The sequence below is a fragment of the Homo sapiens genome, chromosome 17, assembly GCF_000001405.40.
Source record: "Homo sapiens chromosome 17, GRCh38.p14 Primary Assembly".
Lineage (NCBI taxonomy): Eukaryota > Metazoa > Chordata > Mammalia > Primates > Hominidae > Homo > Homo sapiens.
In genome coordinates this window covers 17,976,091-17,996,222 of record NC_000017.11, presented here as the reverse complement: position 1 = coordinate 17,996,222, position 20,132 = coordinate 17,976,091, and the positions used below count along the sequence as shown (strand labels likewise).

General features: G+C 52.4%; 1 protein-coding gene, 1 long non-coding RNA gene and 1 pseudogene across 18 annotated transcripts in view, besides 2 other annotated features; 2 read left to right on the top strand and 1 right to left on the bottom strand.

The window, feature by feature from the left end:
* DRC3 (dynein regulatory complex subunit 3) overlaps window positions 1-20,132 on the bottom strand; it is a 44,077-nt gene that overhangs the window by 20,667 nt on the left and 3,278 nt on the right. For 4 of the 17 annotated variants that reach the window (XM_011524018.3, XM_011524023.3, XM_011524022.3 and 1 more), the window contains exons 3-9: window positions 18,465-18,641; window positions 14,932-14,991; window positions 12,279-12,395; window positions 8,125-8,291; window positions 3,255-3,458; window positions 1,805-1,924; window positions 1,112-1,224 (exon numbers count right to left, since the gene is read on the bottom strand). In XM_011524018.3, coding sequence (XP_011522320.1) covers window positions 1,112-1,224; window positions 1,805-1,924; window positions 3,255-3,458; window positions 8,125-8,291; window positions 12,279-12,395; window positions 14,932-14,991; window positions 18,465-18,624 — 941 coding nt within the window. In that variant the 5' untranslated portion in view covers window positions 18,625-18,641. Of the gene's footprint in view, window positions 1-463; window positions 617-1,111; window positions 1,225-1,804; window positions 1,925-3,133; window positions 3,215-3,254; window positions 3,459-8,124; window positions 8,292-12,278; window positions 12,396-14,931; window positions 14,992-18,464; window positions 18,642-20,132 lie in introns of those variants that run through there. The other 13 variants (NM_001130090.1, NM_031294.4, NM_001130091.2 and 10 more) reach the window with 6 other exon arrangements.
* Window positions 1,221-1,387: a silencer, noted in NCBI's record as "fragment chr17:17898150-17898316 (GRCh37/hg19 assembly coordinates)". NCBI's record gives its function as "represses an EF-1alpha promoter that drives an FKBP-Casp9 reporter gene in an ReSE screen in phorbol 12-myristate 13-acetate-treated (for megakaryocytic differentiation) K562 erythroleukemia cells {active_cell/tissue: K562(+PMA)}" and the evidence as "EXISTENCE:reporter gene assay evidence [ECO:0000049][PMID:32094911]".
* Window positions 6,409-18,667, top strand: LOC107984989 (uncharacterized). Its single transcript, XR_001752801.2, has 3 exons — window positions 6,409-6,726; window positions 7,716-7,837; window positions 18,247-18,667. It is a non-coding gene; the product is annotated as an uncharacterized LOC107984989 (long non-coding RNA).
* BRI3P3 (brain protein I3 pseudogene 3) lies at window positions 14,563-15,234 on the top strand (annotated as a pseudogene).
* Window positions 14,667-15,167: an enhancer, noted in NCBI's record as "H3K4me1 hESC enhancer chr17:17884370-17884870 (GRCh37/hg19 assembly coordinates)". NCBI's record gives its function as "activates a minimal SCP1, AML or CMV promoter by ChIP-STARR-seq in primed H9 embryonic stem cells {active_cell/tissue: H9 hESC(primed)}" and the evidence as "EXISTENCE:reporter gene assay evidence [ECO:0000049][PMID:30033119]".

Genomic DNA, 20,132 nt, shown 5'->3' with positions numbered 1-20,132 from the left:
CATAGTGAAACCCAGTCTCTACTAAATACAAAAAATTAGCCAGGTGTGGTGGCGCATGCCTGTAATCCCAACTACTTGGGAGGCTGAGGCAGGAAAATCGCTTGAACCCAGGAGGCGGAGGTTGCAGTGAGCTGAGATTGCGCAATTGCACTCCAGCCTGGGCAACAACAGCGCAACGCTGTCTCAAAAAACAAAAAAACAAAAAAACCAAAAACCTCTTTCTTTTGTAAATTGCCCAGTCTCAAGTATATCTTTATCAGGAGCGTGAAAACAGACTAATACAGATAGGGTCTCACTACATTGCCTAGCCTAGACTGGTCTCAAATTCCTGGCCTCAAGCAATCCTCCTGCCTTGGCCTCCCAAAGTGCTGGGATTATAGGCATGAGCCACCTCACAGGCCCAGAATGTCAGGTTTTTGAGTGAATTTTTCTCTATCCAGTGAAGGTGGCTCCACAGACTCACCTGTGACTGGATGCCTTAGCTCAGAGCTCTCAGATCCAGGAGCTCCTTGATTCTGTCCTGAGTCCCTCAGCTCACAACTTAAGCCCATTGATCGATGGTCACAGCCTCAGCCCTAATGACAGGTACCAACCACGTCCTCTGGGCTCCAGGCAACTGGGGAAAGAATGAGATTCTCAGGCCCCACAGACAAAGCTTCAAAAGCTGGCCTCTAATGGGGTGACCCTGGACAGCCAAGCTATGTTTCCCCAACTATAAAATGGGGTTAATGATGGTACCTGCCTAGTGGGGTGGTTGAGAAAACAATAAATGCCAGATCCAAGTGCACAACAAGAACAAGTGAGTATGGCTAATGAGAACACATTTCAATCCATTTCTCCACCTCTGAAAACCTGGCTTGCCAAACATGGCCAGCCCATGCCATGCTGACCAGATACTACACATGTCCCTGAAATCCAGACAGCATCTCCCCCATGCAGCTCAGCTGACCGGACTCTGAACTGCCTGTTGGGTACATTGCTCTCAAGTGGAGATTTTACCTCCCAAGGTCTTACAAGAGAGATGAAGAAACTGAGGCCTAGAGCGGAAGGGGCCTTGCCAAGGCAGGCTGGTGGCAGAGGCTCTGAGACAGCCATGAACTCAGAAGGATATGTCTCAAGGAGCTCACCGACACCAGGCAGGTAGGACAGATTGTTGCCCTCTGAGTCCTCAGCGTACATGCTGTCAAACAGGAAGGAGCCATTCAGGTGTTCCACAAACGCAGTCTGCAGGCAGAAACACACGTAGGTAGGACGGCTCCTGTCAGGGGCCCCTGCATCATCTCACAGGCCCATGAGGAAGGCAGGTCAGGAGGGAGCATGTTCCAGACAAAGAGAATGGCATGTGCAGAGGTGCAGAGGCATAAAACTGCAGGCTGTTTCCAGAATGTTATACATTTCTCAGTCTGGTTGCAAGGAGGGGTGGAGACTGGTGGGAAAGAGGCCAACTGGGTCCAGTCATGAATTCAGGGCCATGGCTACAGGACCTGAGCCGTTCCTGGCATGTCATGGGGAACTGCCTTAAGGGTCTTAAGGGGCCTCTGACAGACTGTTTTTAGCACATTCTCTCCAGCAGCTGGAGGCAGGAATGCCAGTAAGGAGTAGGGTCAGGGTCTGGACTGAGACGGAGCTGGCCCTGGGGCAGACAGCAGATGAGCCAGGAAGGGAGAGGGCATCAGGCCCTGTGGAGGGAGCATGATTTCTGTGTTTTCAGAGCCTGGGGATCCCTGAGGACCGTTTTACTTGATCAGTGCCCTCTTGTGGGCATCTGAGGGGGCCGAGGGCGTGCAGCCTGCCGGAACGGTACCTTGTGCTTCTCTAGCTCCTCCCGCTGCGCCTGCTCGTCCTCCAGCTGGGCCTGCATCAGGTTCTCCTGGTGCTTCAGCTCGTCGATGCTGTACTGGTGCTTAGCCTCCGCAAGCTTTTTCTGACCAGGGAACGGGAGTGGCATTGTTACCAGAGGTTCCTCCGAGCCACACCGCCTCTGCCATGCCGCCTCTGCCATGCTGCAGCCTCCCGCGCATGGGCAGGGGTGTTGCACAGGGGCCTGCATGAAGGCTGTGAAAGCCATGAGGTCTCGTGGATGAGAATGCCCATCTCCTGATGACCCTCACCAGGTTTTTGTGAGCGCAGGGAAATCAGGGAAAGACCAGGAGGAGCGGAAGGCAGCGTGGCAGGCTGGGGTTCCCGGGGCCATCTCCAGGGCAGGAGCCACAGCAATGGAGCGCTCCCCTCGCCCCAGACTGGGTGTTCTCCACAGAGGACTTGCTCTCTCACTCCCAACAGCCCTCAGCAGGCCTTCTGGCCCTCTTTTAGGGAAGGAGGACAACAGGACAGAGGTAGAGTGAGGCCATAGGGCTGGTCACGAGGGTCTGGCCCTTGGCTCTCTCCACCGCACTGGCTCATCCCCCTGTACCTGGCCAGGAATGCTGGCACCTCTAGAACTTAGTCCCCGTCCCCCAGCTCACTCCATGTGCCCCAGGTGATCCCACCTGTACCATGGCTTCAACTACTGCCAATTGGCAATCCTCAGATGACACTCAGGTCTCTACCTCCAGCCCTGACTCTGCCCCTGAGAGCCAGGCCTGAGCCTCTGATGGCCTGGTTCCCTCTGGAGCTCAGCTGTTAATATTGCTCCTGGGATGACACCAACTTAGGGTGAATCCTGGCTTGGCCTTGAGCCAGTGATCCTGGCTGCTTGCCCTCCTTGGGCCTCCTCAACTTCTTTTCTTTTCTAATTTTTTAATTTTTTCACTCTGTTGCCCAGGCTGGAGTGCAATGGCATCTTCTTAGTTCACTGCAGCCTCAAACTCCTAGTCTCAAGCGATTCTTCTACCTCGGCCTTGTGAGTAGCCAGGATTACTGGTGTGTGCCACCACACCTGGCTAATTTTGGTAGTTTCTGTAGAGATGGGGTCTCCCTATGTTGCCCAGGCTGGTCTTGAACTCCTTGGCTCAAGCGATCCTCCCGCCTCAGCCTCTCAAAGTGCTGGGATTACAGGCGTGAGCCACTGCTCCCAGCCCTCCTCAGCTTCTTCATCTGGAAAACTAGACAGTGCAGGATGGCTGTGAGGTGGCCCTGGGACAGTGTGTGGAAGAGGCCTGGCCCCTGGGAACGCACACAAAACAGTACTTACAAGGGTGCTGCTGGAATCACTCTGACAGAGTCAGGTAAAGGGATTAGGAAGAGGGAGCTGCCCTTTCTCTCCTAGTTGTGGGCAGGGGAAGCTACTCTTCAATGCCCCTTTTCCAAGAAACCTGGGGGCTTGAGGAATCTGTCTCACAGGGCTGGGAGACTGAGAGGGAGACACTTGCTGTGTGGTCATCAATGCGCCGGTAGTCCAGGTACATGAGGTCAGGAAGGTAGGCACAGATGAACATCTTGTAATCCTCTGCCTCAGAGATAGGGTTCCTAGAGAGGCTGAGCGTCCGCAGGCACTTGAACCGCCGGAGGTAGATGATCTGGGGAGAAAAAGGGAGAAAGGCCCATTTTCTTGGCTGCCACAGAGTTGAAAACACAGCTGCACCTCCCTCCTCAGTACTCTTTCAGAGTCAGCCTGGCCACAGCACCATCAGCACTGGGGTGGGGTGACAGGCAGTGTGCAGGCGTGGGGGTGTTCCAGGCTGGGAAGCAGTACCGAGACCTTCTGTCAGAAATGGGCTTTTCAAAGAACCAGCAGACCATGGTTCAGGTCTGCTGAACCATGTGGTGAGACCTTGAACAAGTTACCCAACATCTGTGAGCTTCAACGTCCACATCTGTTAAACGGGTATAAGGATATCATGTGTGTTACAGGTGTTATAAAGACCAAGTGAAATAAGCTATAAAAAGCACTGGAAGAGTGCCTGACACCTATTCGGTAATGGGCGTTTTAGTTGCTGTTACCAGCATAGGCATACCCTTCTATTTATTTTTTAAAAATCTTTTAAATTTAACTTAATTTTATTTTTTGAGATGGAGTCTTGCTCTGTTGCCCAGGCTGGAGTGCAGAGGTGCGATCTTGGCTCACTGCAACCTCTGCCTCCCGGGTTCAAGTGATTCTCGTGCCTCAGCCTCCCGAGTAGCTGGGATTACAGGCCTGCACCACCACACCTGGCTAATTTTTGTGTTTGTAGTAGAGATGGGATTTTGCCATGTTGCCCAGGCTGGTCTCAAACTCCTAGGCTCAAGCGATCCACCAGCCTTGGCCTCCCAAAGGGTTGGAATTACAGGCGTGAGCCACCGCGCCCGGCCCTATTTTGTTTTTAAGTAGGGATGGGGTCTTGCTGTGTTGACCAGGCTGGTCTCGAGCTCCTGGTCACAATAAATCCTCCCACCTCAGCCTCCCAAAGTGCTGGGATTACAGGCGTGAGCCACTGCACCTGGCCAGGCATGCCTTTGTAGATTGTAAAGCCCCATGGAAGGTACAAATATCTTAAATTAAATGGGACCCAACTTATGGCTAACCTTGGATTCCCTGGATAACAGCTAGGGGAACATTCCAGTAACTTTATTTATTCTCCCTACACTCTATTTTTAGTAAAATGAGGAAAATGTTAACCAGGTAGTTAATATTAGATTGGTGCAAAAGTAACTGTGGTTTTTGCCATTAAAAGTACTGGCAAAAAAGTATTTTAAAAAAGCAATACTTTGGCCGGGTACAAGGCTCACGCCTGTAATCCCAACACTATGGGAGGCTGAGGCAGGTGGATCTTGAGGTCAGGAGATGGAGACCATCCTGGCTAACATGGTGAAACCCCGTCTCTACTAAAAATACAAAAAAAAAAAATTAGCCGGGCATGGTGGCAGGCGCCTATAGTCCCAGCTACTTGGGAGGCTGAGGCAGGAGAATCGCTTGAACCCAAGAGGCGGAGGTTGCAGTGAGCCGAGATTGCACCACTGCACTACAGCCTGGGTGACAGGGCGAGACTCCTTCTCAAAAAAAAAAAAAAAAAAAAAAAAGCAATACTTCATTGGATAGCATCTAGACACTGTACTATGCAAAAGATAGAAAAAAAAATCTAGCATGCTTTTCTGAGTGAATTTCTTTCAGTCATTTATTAGTCACCTAGCAGCAAACACTATTAGTCACCTAGCAGCAAACACTATTAGTCACCTAGCAGGCCTCCGGCATGTGCTAAATTATGAAGATACAGTGGGGAACAAGGCCTGTGGGGTCCCTGCCCTTATGGCAAGAGCACATATTTTAGGAGTGGGGGAAAAATGTTTTCTTTTTAATTTATTATTATTTTTTTTAGATGGAGTTTTGCTCTTGTCACCCAGGCTGAAGTGCAGTGGCGCGATCTCGGCTCACTGCAACCTCCACCTCCCAGGTTCAAGCGATTCTTCTGTCTCAGCCTCTGGAGTAGCTGGGATTACAGGCACCCGCCACCACACCCGGCTCATTTTTATATTTTTAGTAGAGACGGGTTTCGCCATGTTGGCCAAGCTTATCTCGAATTCCTGACCTCAAGTGAGTCGCCCACCTTGGCCTCCCAAAGTGCTGGGATTACAGGTGTGAACCACCGGGCCCGGCCAAATGTTTTAAAAAGTAAATAAAACCATTATGCTTTGAGTTAAGTGCTGTAAGGAACATCAAGATGGCACCCTGAGAGAAAATAACAGGGAGGCCTCTTTCAGTTAGGAGATTCAGAGGTCTCTCTGGGGAGGTGACATTTAATCTGAGACCTGAGGGAGCCAGCCGCAGAAGAGCAGAGGAGAGCACATTCCTGGAAGCCAAGACAGCACAGGCAAGGGCCCCAGGCAGCAAAGAACTTGGCACATGCCAGGCACTGAGCAAAGGCCAGGGTGGCTGCAGAATGCGGGGAGAGGGCTGGGAAGAAGTTGAGATGGGAGTAGAGACAAGGTCAGGGGCTGATTCATGCAAGACCATGCATGGGTTTGGATGCTGCCTGTCTGGCATGCAGGGCAAACTTCTGAGACTCCACCACCTCTGTGGCTTGACCCAACGGAACTGCTAGTGACAACTCGGTGCTTCCCACCCCAGGCTGTTCATGTAAGCCCAGCCTGGCCGTCACCCAGCCATGATGTTAGGCTGAGGGTCAGTGTAGACCCTGAGGGGGCTTGATCAGACTAAAGGGCCACTGTCGGAAGGAGAGTTCTTGCTCTCTCCATCCTGCTAGATGCAGACAAGGAAGCCCGTGTCCTTGACTGCAACCATTAAGAGAATCAAGCTCTGGGGAGATGCTGAGGATGGCAGAGCCCAGAGGCAGAAGGAACTCACGTCCTTGAAGCTCTGCTGATAAGCACCCCTTCCTTGCAGTGCCAATTATCACGCCACTAAATGCCCTTGTTGTTTGCCGCAGGGGCTCAGCTTACCTCCGGCTTCAGCTGTAGCCATGAGAGACCTTAGCTGGCAGCGTCCTATCTCATTACTCACTTTCTGCCTCAGAGATATCTCTGAAGCCAAAGAAGCCCACCCAGCCCAAAAGCCAGGTGGCAAGAAAGTTAATCCCCCTGGGGTCTCCCTCAGCTGTTGCGGGAATCAAATGCCTTAGGCTCCTGTCCTTAGAGGGTCACTTCTGGGAGGCATTCTGGACACTTCCGAGGCCGGGGAATCCTCCCTCGTCACCTGCAGCAGCAGTCTCAGTGACACGCCTGTGTGTTGGTTCTTCCCTGCCTCCCTTACTCCAGCTTCCTGAAGCCACCTCTCAAACCAGCCACCTGCGTGCAAGTCCCTGCCTTACCTCTGCTTCCAGCCAGTTTGGGGCCAGCTTCTCTTACCTGCAGGTACAGTATCCTTTTTGGTCACACTGTCCTGGGGTAACCCATTCTCACAATCCCCCTCAAATCCACCCTCATGGGGGTGAATTCCTTCCTAAATGTAGACCTGCCCCAAATACATCTCAGACAGAAGCCTCCTCGGCTCCCACTGCTTCTCTGGCCATCCTGACTGACTGTGGCGAGGCCCGGCCACATCCTGAGCCCAACCCTGCACCACACACCTTTGACCTCGTCCAGGGACCCTGCGCTCCTCAACGATGCGTGCGGCCAGGCTTTCCCAACTTACCTCCAGGCCTTTGCTCACACCATTCCATCCTCCTGGGAAGCCTTTTCCTTCTGCTGGATGGCAAATTCTAGTTATCTCTCAGTGAGTCTGCATCAAGCTCCCCTCATCCCAACACTCGCAGGAAGGCCCTCAGCTATGACAGTCCTCCATTTGTTAGGAACACACCCCAGCCTGACACCGAACCAAATGCGTTACATTCATGATCCCACTTGATTCCTGCAAAAGCCTGGGCAGCAGGGTCATGGCCATCATCTCCATCTGACAGGTGAGGAAACTGAGGCATAGAAGGCTTGACCCTTGGTTGGGTTTAGATGCTCCTGTCTGGCATGCAGGGCAAACTTCCGAGACTACAGTGCCTCCTGGATTTGGTCCTGCTGGACAGACTTACATACCAGTCACAACTCAGCGCTTGACCCTCCCAGGTCACTCACCTAAGCCACCACGGCCCACAGCTGGGATCTGAACCCAGGCCACCTGACTGACCTAAGCAGAAAAGGAATCTTCAAAGGCTACTGGACAGCCCCCAGGGTTGATGGGTTGCAGAAGCAAGCCAGGAGCCATCTGATGTGTCGCCTCTGACACAGGACGACAGCTGTGGCAGCTTAAAGCTGCTGCCACACCCCCAGCTGTGTCCACTGCCACTTGTGCACACCCCTAAGCCTCAGGGTGCCCTCCTACCACCCATAGGCCTTGTTTTATTGTTCCTCAGGACACCGGCTTCTTGTCTCCTTGTGCCTTGACTATGGGGGTGTGTGCTGGTCACTCCAAAGGGACCACATCTCGTCTGTCTCTGTTCCCAGTGAGCACAGGACATACGCCCAACACTAACAGGTATGTACCTCAGCAAATGTTTGTTAAATAAGTGCAAGACACAGGGAAAGAACCGCCACTAATGTGGAGGTTGTAAACTAGTGCTCTCCGATGAATTTTGTTGGGTAAGCATGGTATTTAAACATGAGCAAATCCCTCATGGAGTAATCCAGATTCCTGGCTTTTCCAGGAAAATGAGAAGATCTGAACACTCAGCCTGTACTTCCCCTAGCCACAGACCCCCACTCAACCCACGGCGCTCCAAGGCTCTGCAGGTGTGCGTGAGGGCGGGCTGGGCGGCCACTCACGTTCATCATGTTGTCAATCCGGTTGTTGCCCAGCGACAACACCTGCAGCTTGACGAGGGCGTCCAGGGAGTCGATCTTGGAGATCCGGTTGTTGAACAAGCTCAGGTCCTCCAGGTTCACCAGTGTGTCCAGCCCCTCGATGGTCTCAATGTTGTTGAAAGACAGATCTGGGAAGAAGAGAGGGCTGTGAGGGTCTGCTGCCTGGGTCAGGGGATGGGCTGTCCTGAAATAAAACCATCAGGGCTACTGAGTGCCCTGTGAGCCAGCACCAAGCTGCCAGGGCCAGAATTTGACTCACTGTCTAATAGTTTGTGATTTTTTTAGAAGCCAGGTGTGAATTATTTCCTGCAGCCTCCAATATTCACTACCCTCTCCAGTTCCGCCAATCATCCTCCTGGCTGGGGACATGTGGGCAAATACTGGTGTCTATGCTCTGCCATAGTTCTGGGAGGAAAATACTAACCCGCAGGTCTGAAGCAGTGCCCTTGGGGGTCGGGGTAGACAGCGGTGGAGTGTCCCCTTTCCTCACACCTGTGGCATTTTAGCAAGACCACCTCCTGTGTGCTTTGCATTTACCAGTTTATCAAGCACTCGTGTATATCCTCTGACAGCAGCCCTGAGTGGTAGTTTGGAATTTCTCTTGCTGTTTTATCATTTGGGAAGCAGAAGCTCAGAGAGACTCAGTGATTTGCCCAAAGCCACACAGCTAACCACAGTGGGGCCAGAGTTCATCTAAGGCTTCTCCCTGGACATGTGGCAGGTCAGGTTCCTCCAGCTCCATCACAGCTGTCTCAGGCTCCCTCAACCCCAACCGAGACTTTTGACTAATTCCACATCTTTGGGAATAAAAGTACCTTCCTTTTTTTTTTTTTTTTTTTTTTTTTGAGACAGGGTCTCGCTCTGTTGTGCAGACTGGAGTGCAGTGGCGCAATCACGGTTCATTGCATCCTTGACCTCCTGGGTTCAAGTGATCCTCCTGCTTCAGCCTCCTGAGTAGACTGGACCACAGGTATACGCCATCACATCCAGCTAACTTTTTAAAAAGGTTTGTATAGAGACAGGCTCTTACCATATTGCCCAGGCTAGTCTCAAACTCCTGGGCTCAAGTGATCCTCCCACCTCGGCCTCCCAAAGTGGGGATTACAGGTGTGAGCCACCATGTCCGGCCTAAAAGTACTTTTTCCCCACTACAGGTTTTCAGGGTTACCTGGCAGGTGGGGCTGTTATCTTGTCCTGGAACACCAATGGCCTAGAGGCCAAAAATGAGCATTTTTCCTGGGCTTGGAAATATGAGCATGATAACCACAGGGTGATCACATTTAAAAGGTGATTTGGGGCTGGGCGTAGTGGCTTACACCTGTAATCCCAGCACTCTGGGAGGCCGAGGCGGGGGGATCACTTGGGGGTCAGGAGTTCCAGACCAGCCTGGCCAACCTGGCAAAACCCTGTCTCTACTAAAAATACAAAAATTATCTGGGCATGGTGGCACATGCCTGTAATCCCAGCTACTCAGGAGGCTGAGGCACGAGAACCACTTGAACCTTGGAGGTGGAGTGAGCCGAGATTGTGCCACTGCACTCCAGCCTAGGTGATGAAGTGAAGCTTTGTGTCCAAAAAAAAAAAAAAAAAAAAGGTGATTTGGGAGATGAGTTTAACCACATCTTAATATAGCCTCCTCCGCATATCAGGGGATGCTCACCTGTTGACATTGAGACCAATGATAACTCTGTCCTTTCTCTATGCCAGGCCCTTTAAGTGCATTACCTTGTTTAATCCTCATAGCACAGATAGCATCATCCCCATTTTATAGATGAGGAAACTGAGATTCAAATGGGCCTCATGGTAATATGCTCAAGGTAGCACAGCACATAAAGGAATCGAGGTTCGGGCCAGGTGCAGTGGCTCACGCCTATAATCCCGGCACTTTGCGAGGCTGAGGCGGGTGGATTGCTTGAGGCCAGCAGTTCGAGATCAGCCTGGTCAACATGGCAAAACCCTGTTTCTACTAAAAATACAAAAATTAGCCACCCATGGTGGCACATACCTGTAATCCCAGCTACTTGGGAGGCTGAGGCATGAGAATCACTTGAACCTGGGAGGCAGAGGTTATAGTGAGCTGAGATTGTGCCACTGCACTCCAGCCTGGGTGACAGAATGAGACTCCATCTCAAAAAAAAGAAACTGAGGTTCACAGAGTGGAATATCTTGTGCAAAGTCAGTATGTTGGCCAAGCTGGGGTTTGAATGGGGGTCTAACAAATGCCAGGCCTGCACACTTCCTTTCCCACCGTGCCACTGGGTTCTGTTCTTGGGAGGCTTAGCCTACCCCCTAGTGGTGTGCTAGCAAGTGTTTACCAATGGGGGCTGAGGAAAACCCCTGATTTGAGGTGCTTGCTCATTTCTGTGGTGTAAATACTCCCACCGTGGCCAATTTCAAGCTACCAGCGTGGCATCCCTGGAAGCAAAGTTGGGAAGAAATGTGTATAGCCAGCTGTTGAGAGCCAGGGCTAGCCAGCTCCAGCACATCCTCAGCCCTGTGCATGTCAGTGTGGGAGGTCGTGCTGAACCATGGGAGTGCCACCTCCCTAACCCCCATCCTCAGCACCCCAGGGATCCAGCTCTTCTGGCTGTGGTTGGGTCCCTGGGCACCTAGTGCCATGGCTGGACAAAGACCAGCTTCTGCCTATACTCTGAGGGGCAGTGTGACCTCTTAACAGAGCCTGCCCTCACTGCTCTAGCACCCCCATCCCAGGGAGCACTGGCCATCAGTCCAATGACCCTTGGAAGCGTGGATGGCCACTGCAAGGGGTTGGGGGAATGAGCTGACTAGGAAGTGTGTGTGCAGGGGCTCCAAGTAGTAGGAAAATAAGCTTCTGTTAGGGAGGGAACCAAGACCAGTATTCAGGTTTCTCTCTGGGTAAGCAGACAGAAAGAGGGAGCTGTCATGGGGCTCAGTGGTACTTGCTTTATGTCTGAGAGACAGCCAGGCCAGAGAGCTCCTGCTTAAAACCATGGCATTCATGAATCAGCATTAATGGGTGCTAGAGTGCAGAGAAATGAGAAACCTGGGACAAGAGACCTGGGCCCAGGTGTGAGAGGACCTGGCTGTGGTTTGCTCCTGCTACCTGTAGCACATGACTCCATCAAGCTGGTCAGCCTCCCTGAGCCTCAGTTGCTGCATGTGTGAAATGGCAGCATAACCCTGCCTGTGGGTTTGCTATGGGCTTGCAATTGTCAGCACAAAGGAGGATGGGAGTGTTTGGCAAATTGGAAGGCTCACGATGCCCCAGGGTGCCCTTATTACCAGAAGACCGCCTAATAGGATGGAGGGAATGTGGGCTGTGAGGTCAGACAGGCGTGGGGGTGAGTCCCAGCTCTGATACTTCTTGGTCGTGCAGCTTTGGGCAAGTGCCTGGGGCTCCCTGAGTCTCAGCTCCTCTTCTGTAGATTGGGATTATAACAGATGCCCAACTCTTAGGATTAAAATGGGGGTTAAACAAGACAGGGCATAAGGAGCTCTCAGGCCCATCACCTTCTCCCTGCTAGGGACCCATTGCCCCTCACCAGATGTGAGGATGCTCCTAAGAGGCCAGCAGAAGGAACATCTCATCAAAACCCTCCATGGCCTTGGCAGTGAGACCTGATGTGGTGTGGTGACCTCAGTTTGCTCATCTCTATGACGGGGATGCTGTGTGAACTGAAAGACCCATATGGAAAGCATATAGGCCCCACTTAGCATGTAGTTAAGTGCTTGATACACACTAGCCTCTGTGACGATTATTCCTGGTTTCATCTGGGTCCCACCAGCCAATGGTTACCTGTCGATGGTTATCTGTCAGCCTGAGTCTAGATTAAATAGGAGTCCACAGCTGCCCCTTTGTACCCCATCCAGACTGAAAGTTTGGGCAGATGAGAGCAGAATATTCTGTGGTCTTGTGTCTGAGCACATCTTTGCTGCACTTTGCCCAGCACAAGCCCTAGGCTTTTAAAAAATAGCAGCTTTCTTGCTCCCAGCAGGCAGAGCTTCTGCCGTACCCTGGCTAATGATGGGCCAGCAGCTGAGTGTCGCACACAATTATTGTCTCCTGGGAAGGCAATAACCTTGTCAGGGTGTCACCTTCGATTAGGGTGGACACACAGAGGAAAGGGCCTTACCCAGCCAGACCAGGTGTGCGAGGTTCTCCAGGCCCTCGATCTTCTCAATGATGTTATTGTCCAGCTGCAGCTTCCTCAAGTTCTCAAACTGCCAGAGGTTGTCTATGCGGAGGATGTCTGAAATAATGGAAGGTGATTTCAGTCTCAGGTTAGGGTCAGAGTTTTGTGCTAGTGTACAGGAGGAGTGAGGCAGAACCACACAAAAGGGACCTAGAACTCTTCTGCCCTGCCCTGGAGTACGCAGGCACCCTGGAGATGTCGGCTGAGCATCGAGGAACATTGTGTCCCTATGAGGTGGGCGGGGATCGGTACTGCCACCCAGAGCCACAGAAAGACCTAATAGGTTTACTAGGGTGGAGCTAAAAAGTTGCTGGGGTGGAAGTGAGCTGGACCTGGCTGGGCAGGAGACTCGCTTGTGCTGTTTCTGGGGCCAGGCCAGGGACTCTCCAGGAGGCTGGTCCACCTTAGGACACAGGACACAGACAGAGGCCTTCCTTCCACAGTGTGATAAATAGAATGAAAACATGTGTCTCTGTTGGTAGGAGGGTTGATTGCCTCATTCAGCCTTTTTGGAGCACTGTTTGGCAATGTTTTTTGAAATATTTAAAGTCAGTGCCCTTTGAACTATAATTTCTCTACATGGAATCTATCTCCACACTGTATATATGTCCAAAGGAATCCCTCAGGCACGTAAGGGGCAGAAAAGCTCCCAAATGTCCATACGTAGGGGATGAGATAAGTCATCCATGCAAGAACGAGGCAGGTTCCTGATATCACGGAAGTGCCTGGCCCCTGTGGCCTGTGAGGACCACCCACGCCAGCTACACAGCTGGTTCATTCTGTTTGCTAGGTAAGCCAGAGTTTGGTTTCTGTCACTGGCAGCCAGGAGAGTTCTGAAAAACACATATGTATAAGTAAATATGTACTGTATATGTAACACTCTAGAGGCCAAACTTGTCTGCCAGGTTTTCCCAGAAGCCACGTACAGCTCTGTTGTTTATATGCTCCTTTTTTCCATATTTGCTTTTGTAATGATTTCTAAAATTTATAAAATTAGAATATGCTCATTAAGGATGGGCGCAGTGGCTCACGCCTGTAATCACAGCACTTTGGGAGGCCGAGGCGGGCGGATCACAAGTTCAAGAGATCGAGACCATCCTGGCCAATGTGGTGAAACCCTGTCTCTGCTAAAGATACAAAAAATTGGCTGGGCGTGGTGGTGCACGTCTGTAGTCCCAGCTACTTGGGAGGCTGAGGCAGGAGAATCGCTTGAACCAGGGAGGCAGAGGTTGCAGTGAGCCAAGATCGCGCCACTGCAATCCAGGTGACAGAGCGAGACTCCATCTCAAAAAAAAAAAAAAAAAGAATATGCTCATTAAAAGAACTGAAATAATACAGAAGTGAAAGAAGTTTTCAAAATTGGTGCTGTGGGCCAGGCGTGGTGGCTCACGCCTGTAATCCCAGCACTTTGGGAGGCCAAGGTAGGCAGATCAGGAGGTGAGGAGGTGGAGACCATCCTGGCTAACACAGTGAAACCCTGTCTCTCCTAAAAACACAAAAAATTAGCTGGGCGTGGTGGCGGGCACCTGTAGTCCCAGCTACTCGGGAGGCTGAGGCAGGAGAATGGCGTGAACCCAGGAGGCGGAGCTTTCAGTGAGCCGAGATTGCGCCACTGAACTCCAGCCTGGGCGACAGAGCGAGACTCCATCTCAAAAAAAAAAAAAAAGAGATGGAGACCATCCTGGCCAACATGGTGAAACCCTGTCTCTACTAAAAATACAAAAATTAGTTGGGCGTGGTGACACGCGCTTGTAATCCCAGCTACTCTGGAGGCTGAGGCAGGAGAATCGCTTGAACCCAGGAGGCAGAGGTTGCAGTGAGCCTAGATTACGCCACTGAACTCCAGCCTGGATGACAGAGTGAGACTGTTTAAAAAAAAAAAAAAATTTGGTCCTGTGGCTGGGCATGGTGGCACACACCTGTAATCCCAGCACTTTGGGAGGCCAAGGCCGGTGGATTGCTTGAGACCAGGAGTTTGAGACCAGCCTGGCCAACATGGAAAAACACTGTCTCTATAATAAAAATACAAAAATTAGCTGGTGTCCCTGTAGTCCCAGCTACTCAGGAGGCTGAGGCAGCAGAATCACTTGAACCCAGGAGGCAGAGATGCAGTGAGCCAAGATCATGCCACTGCACTGCAGCCTGGGTGACAAAGCAAGACTCTGTCTCTAAATAAATAAATAAATAAAAAAAAATAAAAATCGGTGCTGAGGCATTGTGCCTCAGAGGAGCCTGAGCCAGCCAGTCTGCTGCATCCCTGCCACGTCCCCCACTGTGTCCCCTGCCAGGACCGACTGACCTGAGCCGGGCTGCCATGGACCACACGCCCCTGCTGTGGGAGTGGCTGCCCACCTACAACCTAGGGGCCGGCCAGGGCAACTATGCATGCAGCTTGCATGGCTACAGCGTCATCCCTGCTGCCCATCCCTTGCTGCTGCCCGCCCTCCCCTTACCTCATCACAGGGATACCCAACCACCACCCCAGGGTCTACAATGACCACAGCTGGACTATCACTTGGTACCCTGCCAATGCCATCGCCATCATGAGAGGCTGTCCCGTCTGCAGGGATAGGGTGCTGGAGGACTGCTTCACCTTCCTGGGAATCCTCCTGGCCATCATCCTGTTCCCCTTTGGGTTCATCTGCTGTTTTTCCTGGAGGAAGCAAAGATGCCCCAACTGCAGAGCAGCCTTTGCTTAAAGGGAACTTACACCTGGCTTTTCTACACCCAGCTCTCTTTTTCTAATGTACAATAGTTTTATTTGATTAAGCTTCAGGACTGTTTTGTAAAGTGAGGTGCGACAGATGTGGCACGCGGGAGCCAGGGTTTCCTGGAGCGTGGAGAGGCAGCGCTGCTGCTCCTGAGGTTAATGAGAACTCAGTAAAGCACTGCTTTTATTTTTTGCAGTCTTCAATTTGAGAAAGGTGAAATATAATGTTTTCAATAAATGAGATTCATGCCAAAAAAATAAAAAATACAAATACAAATTAGTGGCTAGGTGCGGTGGCTCACACGTGTAATCCCAGCACTTTGGGAGGCCGAGGTGGGCAGATCACGAGGTCAAGAGATCGAGACCATCTTGGCCAACATGGTGAAACCCCGTCTCTACTAAAAATACAGAAATTCACTGGGTGTGGTGGTGTACACCTGTAGTCCCAGCTACTCTGGAGGCTGAGGCAAGAGAATCACTTGAACCCGGGAGGTGAAGGTTGCAGTGAGCCTAGATCGTGCCACTGCACTCTAGCCTGGCGACAGAGTGAGACTCCATCTCAAAAAAAAAAAAAAAAAAATGCTGGGCGCAGTGGCTCATACCTATAATCCTAGCACTTTGGGAGCCTGAGGCAGGCAGATTGCCTGAGCTCAGGAGTTCGAAACCAGCCTGGGCAACATGGTGAAACCCCATCTCTACTAAAATAAAAAAAATTAGCCAGGCGTGGCCGCATATGCCTGTAGTTCCAGCTACTTGGGAGGCTGAGGCAGGAGAATTGCTTGAACTCAGGAGGCAGAGGTTGCAGTGAGCTGAGATCGCACTACTGCACTCTAGCACTCCAGCCTGGGCTGGGCGGCAGAGCGAGACTCCGTCTCTACAAAAAAAAAAACAACAACAATAAAACAAAACAAACAAACAAACAAAAAAAAAACATACAGTCCAGCTGCCGTTTCAATATTCATTCAGAGGGGCAGAGCCTGCCTGTGAGGTTGTGAAAGTCCCAGTGGGAAAGTGGGGAACCCCTCCTAGCTCCCCTCCCTGCACAAAGTTCTGGGGAGGACAGGGTTCTCTGACCCAGGTCCAGAGGGGCACACCGCCCTTCCCCTAGAGCTGGATTGCTGCCCTGCACCTCTCCTGGGTTCCCAGGGCTGGGTGGGACTGCCCTTCCCTTAGAGCTGGATTGCTGCCTTGCACCTATCCTGGGTTCCCAGGGCTGGGTGGGACTGCCCTTCCCCTAGAGCCGGATTGCTGCGTAGTGCCTCTCCTGGGTTCCCAGGGCTGGGTGGGACTGGTGCCTGTTCTTCAGCTCCCTGTTTGTGGCCAGATTTCCCAGAATGATACTGGCCACAATTCCCACCTGTGCTTCCAGGGTGGGGCCAGTTCTGCCCCAGCCTCCCGGCCACCTCCCAACCCTGGGTTGGATTTTCCAGGTGCCTTTTCTGGCCCTGATCTGACAGCCCCCCAGCAGTAGCACTCCCCCTGTGGCTCCTGCACACCGGGTGCTCTGCCACACACGCCAGCATGCCGGCTTTTTCCCAGGTGTCAGCAGTTCAGGAGGAAAAGCCAAAACAACACAACAAATCAGGATGTACTTGGCAGTTAGCTCTAAATGAGTTACCAGCATGACAGGACTGCCAAAAAAAGCCGATTTAATCTTCAACAAAGACACTAAATCTGCCCCTGTGGCCACCACCTCGGCCAGGCCTGTGGTCATCACTCACTGGAGTACAGCAGTGGCCATCTTACTAGATCCTTGCCTCGGCCCCTGGCCTCCACGGTCTATCCTCACGCAGCCAGCAGGGTCCTGTGAAATCCTAAGTCCCATCCTGTCCCACTTCTGCTCAGGACCCTCCCGGGGTCCCCACTTCACTCACTGTAAGAGCCAAACACCTTCCACTGTCTCCAAGCTGACACCATGACCTCCCCGACCTGTCTCTCCACAGTGGCTTCCTCAGCAGAGATGATAAGGCGGGGTCCAGCCTGCCCCAGGCCCTTTGCACTGGCTGCTCCACTTTCCCTGGTGGATCTGCACAGCAGCTCTCTCCCTTGCCTACCTCAAGTTGTTGCTAAATTGTTACCTTCTTGGTGAAGCCCCTGGCCACTCTATAAAACACTGTACTCCACCCCCAACTTCCCTTTTCTCCTCTCCTTCCTTTTTTCCTCCACACCACATATTACGTTTAGCAAATAGTATTATTTTCCTTCTTCATTTTATTTAATTGTCCCCCATCAAGTTGAATGTCAGCTCCATGAGGACAAGGCTTTTGTCTTTTTTTGCTCATAGTTGAATCCCTAGTGCTCAGAACAGTACCTGGCATGTAACAGGCAGGTGTTCAATACTGGCTGCATGAACCTCAGGTTGGGGAGGGGAAACAGAGGGCAAGCGGTCAGCTGCAAAAGCCCCCTCCTGCCGCACCTGTTCTGTGCCCCTTTACCCCTCCCGGGGCTGTGGCTCAGGGCCCTCCCTGATTGGGTGGTCAGCCCTGGGAGCCTATGGGCTTCGTGGGGCTGTGCCTGGGCCATGCCTGACTTGCCCACTGTCGTGTCCCTGGCTCTGGCAGCAGGGCTGGACTGAGGCAGGGTCTCAATACCTCCTTGTTGTTGACTGGATGCCGGCCAGCCTAGGGGCCCCAAGACAGAGCACGAATGTGAATCAGACCAGGTCACTCTGCTGTGGCCTTGCCTGCACATGATACAAAGGGGGGTCTCAGGATCCCTGCCCACCTCTCTCACTGCCCTCGTACTGCCTCTGCCTTCACTTACTGTGCCTGGCTTGCTGTGTGAGCCAGGCACTGTGCACGTGCTGTCTCACCTTGTCCCCCCACCCAATGCTCGAGACAGGGATGACAGCCATCCCATTCCACAGACGGGACATTGAAGCAGTGAGGGTCCGCCTGGTCCTGAGCCACATCTTCTCACTCCTGATGTGCCTCCCTGCCTCAAGGGCCTGTGCTCCTCCTGCTACCAGCCTGTCTTTGGTCACCCCTTCCCTGAAGCTGCCATCCCAGTGCCCGCTCTCATTCTCCCACACTTCCTACCCTCTGCTTCTGGCTACGTGGGACTTCCTAGGCTCTGCCTGCCAGGGACCCCCACTCCAAGGACACCCATGTGGAGTTGTGTGATGGAAACAGCATAGTCTTGGGGGCTCACTTAGATTTGGCGTGGGACAATTTTATCTTGTTTTCTATTCTTATTCAGAATCCGGAGCGTCGTGGATATTCAAATGATGAAGACACTAAGTATGACGCTTTACAAACATCTGTGCTGCTCCTATGCCTTGTAACCCAGGTAGGCCCTAATGCTGATGTGGGAACCTCGACCGTGGACTTTGCATGGAATCCTGGGGCTTGAAGATGGAGCAGAGAAAGCCAGGGAGGGCCCACCCTGGCCACCACCCCTGAACCTTGGATACATACTCCGAAAGTCCAGCTGCAGGGACAGGACATCCTTGAAGAGGATGCCCTCCTGCTTGGCCAGCTGCCCGGCCTCCTCCTGGGGGCCCTGGTCCCCGACGGCCAGCTTGAGCATGTCATCGTCCATCACCCTCGGCTCCATCGAGTTGCACGGCTGGTTCATCTTCCCCCACGTTTTCCCTAAAAAACACCGCATTCTTCCTTCACGGCCTGCTTCTTTCTCTGTTTGAGGGCAGGGTCTGGCTGAGGTTTCCCCCTGTAGTGTCTTGTGGCCACTGGCACTCTGAGGAATGCCCCACGCCCAGCCCTGGGTCTGCTGCATCTCGGGGTTTGTATACTTACGCCAAGGCTGCTCCAGGGCTTCCTGGCAACCACCTGGGCCTGTCCACAGGGTTTCATCCCTTGACCCTACAGCCACAGCTGGGACCCTCGCTGGACCCACTGGACTGGTGTCCACACTGGTCTCCCTAGCCTGTGATCTTGACTCATCTTATGACTGTGGCCCTGTGTCAGGCCTCTGACTTTGTATGCCCATCCTCACTTGGGCTTGTGGGTACCAACCACTGACTGTGCTCCCTGGGCAGCCCCAGCCAGGCCTGTCAGCCTGCAGCTCCTCTTCCTTGAGCACCTCACCCCCTCCAGGCCGTCATGTGTGTATGCCCCACACCACACCACAAGCTTCTCCTGGTGCAGAGGGAGCCCCTGACCCAAGCTGCCCATTCACGTCCTCCCCGTGGGAGATGTGAAGTTGAGGCTGTGGAATGAGAGTGCCCATCGGAGCTGGCTGCTTGAGCTGGGGAGGAATAGGGAGTGTGGGCTGGCTGGGTACATAGTTAAGCAGAGAGCAAGAGGGGGAGGAGGCAGATGCACAGAGAAAAGCAGAGATGGGAACCTGGGAATCAGAAAACAAAAGACAAAGGACAGACAGATCGACACAGACAGAGGCTGCCTCCTTCTTGCTGGCTTTCCAGTCCCTAATGTCCCTAGGTCCAGGCCTCATGAGAGTTTCCTGTTTCTCACATGAAATCCTCTTCTACTTAAGCTAGCTCCAGTAGGTTATTTTTTAATTTAATTAATTTATTTTTTTTGAGACAGAGTCTCGCTCTGTCGCCCAGGCTGGGGCACAATGGCGCGGTCTCAGCTCACTGCAACGCCCGGATTCAAGCGATTCTCCTGCCTCAGCCTCCTGAGTAACTAGGATTTCAGGTGTCCACCACTACGCCTGGCTAATTTTTTGTATTTTTAGTAGAAACGGGGTTTCACCATGTTGGCCAGGCTGGTCTCAAACTCCTGACCTCAGGTGATCCACCTGCCTCCGCTTCCCAAAGTGCTGGGATTACAGGCATGAGCCACCGTGCCCAGCCTCCAGTAGATTCTGTTGCTAATGGTCCAGAGGGATTTGACTGAGACACCACAGCACAGGGGGGATCTGTAGATTTGGTCAGTCACAATGTGAGGCTGACTCCAGGCTGCCGTTCGTGGCTGGACCACATTCTCATCCTTATCAACCCTCTTGGTGAGGACATCCAGGAGGGATATTTTCCCCCACTTTCCACCCCTGATTCTTGCCTCCCTGCTGGCCCTACTTCCTATCTTTGTCTACATGCCTTCCCAGCATCTGGGCCTCCCTGAACCTCCTGTCCTTCTGCCCTGCTGGTCCCTGATGCTAGG